Raw genomic sequence first — 5,639 nt, forward strand, 5'->3', positions numbered from 1 at the left:
TTTTCCTCCATCAAATGGAAATGATAATGCCCATATTCAAGGTTAATGACGGTGCCAATTAAGGTAAAGAATGTAAAATAACTGACATATTTCCTAAAACATAATCATTGCTCAATGAATATTAGTTCTATTTTTCCTTTAATCACCTCTAATTTAGTATTTGAGAAATAGTGTTTATCTGTGTAGAAAAATGACCGTAAGAACACATCCTTCTAATTTGTGAAAATATTTTAACCAAAATGGCCTGTGTTTGATATGTAATCAATTGTTGAATGCATTTCCTATATCTTTCTCATATGGCAACACTAGAACTGTTCCTATCTACACTGATCATCTACATTTTTCATTTACTGATTACAAATCTGTGGGACTCAAACACAAATTAGGGATAATGGTAGATGGGCTATCGTGTGTACATATGTGTGTATGTTTACATGTACATATATGTGTTTATATTTCTAGTCTTAAAAGACACTGTGTGTAGGATTAATTATGGACTAAGGTAAAATATCTAAATTGGAAATTTTGTTAGTCATAATTCAATATATTGATCATAAATCTCAGTTTCAGGGCGCTGCTAGTGTTTCATGAAACGTAGAATGTGAATTACAAAAGTTCTTATCCCTGCAAGTTTTTACAATTCAGAATTAAATAAAGTAAAACATTGCTACTGAAGAATTTCCCAAATTATGGATGACCTTTCTTCTTCTTTGAAACACATATAATATTAATGCTTGCATGAAATACCTATTCGCCCTCCATGAAACAGTTTGGAAAATGTTGGTTTGAAGTGAGACAATTTAAGATGTTAAACCAATGTTTCCAAAGATACGCATGATATGTTAAAAGCTGTTACTTGAAAAACTGAGTTACATAGTCAGGTAAGTGTAGAAACTCAGTTAACTAATTTTTCTCTTATTGCAAGAATCCTTGGAAATTTTAATGTGTTAAATATGTCTGTTATTAGTATTTCAATATGTTAAAATCTCTAAGAGGATACTAGTATATGTAGCACAATCCAGAATAATTTGACTACTAATTGCTTTTCTATAAGAATCCATGCCAACATTTCATGAAACACTGTCACGAAAATTCTGTCTTGGAAATTTTGTACTAGATCACTGGTTCTCAGAGTATAGTTCCCTGACCAGTAGTATCAGCATCACGTGGGAACTTGTCAGAATGCAAATTTTCAGGCCCCATCTCAGACCCAAAGGATCAGAAACTCTGGGGGTGGGGCCCAGGAATCTGTGGTTTAACAAGCCCTCTAGGCCATTCTGATAAATGCTATGGTCTGAAAGCCACTATGTTAGAGATGTGTAAGATTGAGCACAATAATTAGTACAAATAGTTTTAACGGGACTGAAATTAGAAATGTCATTTACAAAATAATAATATGTTAAAGGTTTTGTTATTACAGATTAAGCTGTGTGCCAACAAAATTCGTATGTTGAATTCCTAACCCCTAGGACCTTGTAATGTGATTATATTTGGAGATAGTCTCCTTAAATTAAGCTAAAAATAGGGCATGTCAGTGGGCCTTAATTCACTATGACTGGTGTATTTTAAGAAGAGGATATTTAGTATACAGTGTACGCACCCAGAGGAAAGGCCATTTGGGGATGTAGAATGAAAGCAGCCATCTGCAAGCCAAGGAGAAGCCTCAGAAGAAACCAAACCTCAGAACCCTTGATGTTGGATTTTTATCTCCTAAAACTGTGAGAAAATAATTTTCTAAAGCCACTCAGTCTAAGGTATTTGTTATGGCAGCCCTAGCAAACTAATGCAGGTGTATACATAAATCACTGAACTCTACGATTTAGAGTCAAATCTATTCAAGGTGCGTCTTTCCTACTATAAAGTACTATGTTTACTCTGAAACGTATTCACATAAAAACTCACAAATGCTGTAACGCTTTGGAGTCAATTATACAAAGCATTATTGCAATTGTTTAATTATATCCTGGGCTGTATCAGCCATAAGAGTCAAAGGAAAATTTAGAGCAGCGTTAGGAGCTGTTGGCTTGTGAATGCGGTTAGCCTTTTATTTTTTTCTTTCATTTCGTCTAATTTTAAGATAAAAGCTTATTTCCATGCCACTCATCCTCTTGCTTTGTCTGCTTTTCCAAGTTACAGTAGTAGTATTTGGTATTGTGTTCAGAAAAGAAAGAGTACATTAGAAAACACCTTATTTATTTGGTGAAAAAATTCATTGCTTTTGTCAATTATTAATTTAAAGTACACTAAAATGTACTTTGCCTGATTTAATAAATATTTATTCCTCATACCATTAATAGATTTAATACCATTATAAATTTATGTGATGTCTGTGTATTGAGTGGATAAGGCCTTAGGTGGATAGAGTTAATTCTTTCTATATGGCTGCTTGTTATGAGACTTCCTCTGACATATATCTCATAATGGTTCCTGTTGATTGATCTAATTATATACACATGGTTTTATTGGAGCTTTGTGAATCTGGAGATACCCATGTTTGCTTAATGTTCTACAAGCACAATTCAAAACCCTTTAGGCTTACCAGGATTGCTTCCATAATCCTTAATTGAGAAAAGTAAGCCTCGAGAATTTTGAAATACCCAGCCTAAATCAAGCTCCTGGGCCAGCATATTTTCCCTTTAGAATATTTCTTTTGTAAAGAAAAAATTGTATTTTTTAATACACATGATCTATTTTTTATATGAGTGTCACTTTGTAATTAAATGAAATACATTTATTTCTGTGAGTATGCGTAAAAATGTTCTTGCTTTTTGGTCCTTGGTTTTTATATTTGAGGAATGAATATTTTGAAAAAAGAATATGTAAAATAATATTACATCATAGTATGCAGTGAATAGCAGAGGAAAAAGCAATATTTCAATGCAAGGCTAACAATTCTTAAATTACTACATTTTATGTATGAAGACAAAAAATTCTGTTATTTTAATAACTAATTTCATTAAACACTTGAATAGTAGATATGAATCCGTTAATCTGTTGTTTTTATTGGACTTCATAATACATTAAGAATATTATCCTGATGCTTAAAACTTGCAATTGTGTCTCATCTGTGATTTATCCTTTCTTTCTGCAGATTTAGCTATTTTTACCTCTTTTTTCTTTGTATTGCTTGAAGAACAGTTCTGACAACAAAGATTACTCTGTTTTTTTATCTACTCTAGTGTTTTGGGGTTTTGAACATCATTTTTTAACAAAGCTTTAGCTCACTGAAAGCCCAAGACAAACCTAAAGTTTTGAAACTCACTTTCACAGATCTAGTAAATTTTTCTTGACTGAATTATTTTATTTAATACACAAAATCTTGTGAAACATAAAACAGCAGAACTAGAGTAGAGCCAGGTGAAGCCTTTCCCATCAACCCTCTCTTCCCCAGAAATAGACATGTGGACTCAAGGAGTGGCTCTACTGGAGCTGAATAATTGGGGATTTGGGGAAAAGGAAGTGTCACTGCCTGAATGGGAAAGATAATAAGAAATGAAGACTTGCTAAAAAATGGAGAGCCTTGTAAGCAATAATCACATTCTTTAAGAAGTCTAAGTAGTTGCTTTTCTATTACTTACCTTGATTGGAGAAAAGAGTTGTCTAATAAACTTTGGAAATCTGAAGTGGGTCAATTAACCCCTAAAGGAAGGTAAACGGGTTCATTTGAAGTTTCAGATCAATGGATGCTGAAGGTTGCAGTATAACTTTAAGGAATTATTTTAAAAGTTTCTTTCTTTATGGAAAGACATTTTGATCAATGAATTGAAAGCTGAAAGAGCTTTATGGTCCAGAAAGGGTCAAAAATCAAAAATGAGATGAGAACATTTAAGTGGGACTCCCAGTGTCAAAATGCATATGTACTCATTTCAGAATGTCTCCTTCTAAAAAATACCTTATGATTGATTCAGACTTTTTTATTTACAGTGCCTGCAGACATTTAGTGAGCCTTTATTGTTAGGCACTCCATTAAGCCCTTTTAAAATTAATCCTCTTAAGAAACTTATGAGGGTAGAAACTATCTTTATCTTCATTTTACAGATGTGAAAACTGAGGCATAAAGAGGTTAAGTAACTTGCTGATGGCAGAAGGCAGGAGTCAATCCCAGGCATTTTGATTGCATTCTTATCTCTAAGCAGTATTGCCTAATTGTGAAATAACTGTTGAAAGCTTGAACATCACAAAACTAGGACATCTTTTCTTTTTTATTATCAAAAACCTCACCACACCAAACCAAAAACATTAAGAAATTGGCAGTCTCTGTTTACAAATGAAAAACAAGAAAAGATCAGTTTCTGTTTGGATCTTCAGATTTTGCTCTATCTACTAGTTCCCTCTTAACCATTTAGAATATATTAATACAATCAAATTGAGATTCAAGAAATAACCAATATTTTTTTTTCAATATACTTCCTATACTTCCTAATTCATGTAACATAGGTTAAAACACATTTTCTTTTTTTTCTTTCAAAACCTTTTTAACTGGACAATGCTTTTAAGTTTCTTTGCTGTTTGTAATTTTTTCTTTCCTTAGTGTTTTCCAAGAGAATAACTATTAGTCTTTAAATCTGTTAATGATGGTCCTTTGAAGATTTAGGCAGTGATTCTGTTTTTGCCTAAGTGTATCTGTTCTGCCCAAGGAGATATGGGAGAGAAAACTTGAAACAGCAGATATGTAGTTCTGCTTTAAATCTGGATTAACAGTAGTGTCTTGAAAACATTGGTTAAGTTAACAATATGAAAATGTAGTATGCAGCTGTAGTTAGTGAGTTTGCTTTCTTATGTGCATAATATGAGCTTGTAATGGAAGTAATGTCATATAGTATTTAACTCTGACATTTAGTGTTTGCCCTAGTAGATGGTCTTCCTTTTACTTAAGTGCCATTACTTTTATGTAGTCCATTTTCATTGCATTTAGTCCCATTTTAGTAATAATGCTTGCATGATTTACCAGGCAAATGCAATCTTTGCCCTGAATGGCACAGTGCAAGAAAAAATGGAAGCTGTTAAGAGGCTGAATGGCAAAAAAGTATTATTGACCTATGCTGGCAGTCATGTGTTTCAATTATTTTCAAGAATCCATTTGTCAAATAAGTGAAGCGATGTGGGACGTCAAGTTCAAGCTCGGGTTAGTGCCTTTCTACATCTGATATGATGTATCTTCTGTAGCCATTTAATTGAATTACCCAATTTATTTTTCAAGCAACAATGCTCTACCAAGAGCCATGACATTAAACAATTAAATATGAGTTTAAAAGTCTGCATTTTGTGTAGTTCATCATTCCTCTGCAGCAGAGGGTGAGCCCAAGGGCCTGAAGATTTCTGATTCTGGTGTAGTAAAAGCTTACATTCCAGGGGAACAACCTCACTATCCCATGTGGAAACATTTAAAAAATAACAACACTTCATTATTCTTATTTCTTTCAGCAGAACAGTGATGTAAACATTTAGAATTTAACTTTGATTACTCAATAATTTCTTGAGATTCTGTTTGGAAAAGCAAACTGCGCTGGGATAGCTGTAACTAATGCTCAATGAGTTTGATCAATAATGCTTTTTTTATTTGAAGTAGCTGGCTTTTGTGAATACAAAAGAGAAGTCCTAATGAAGTAAAGATATCAGACTTTCAAAAAATTATGAAG

At 32.9% G+C, this 5,639-nt stretch overlaps 1 annotated feature.

Moving 5' to 3' along the window:
* Positions 4,626-5,435: an enhancer, noted in NCBI's record as "VISTA enhancer hs682". NCBI's record gives its function as "enhancer in: eye[5/8]" and the evidence as "EXISTENCE:transgenic organism evidence [ECO:0001131][PMID:17130149]".

Source organism: Homo sapiens, chromosome 5 (genome assembly GCF_000001405.40).
Source record: "Homo sapiens chromosome 5, GRCh38.p14 Primary Assembly".
Classification (NCBI taxonomy): domain Eukaryota; kingdom Metazoa; phylum Chordata; class Mammalia; order Primates; family Hominidae; genus Homo; species Homo sapiens.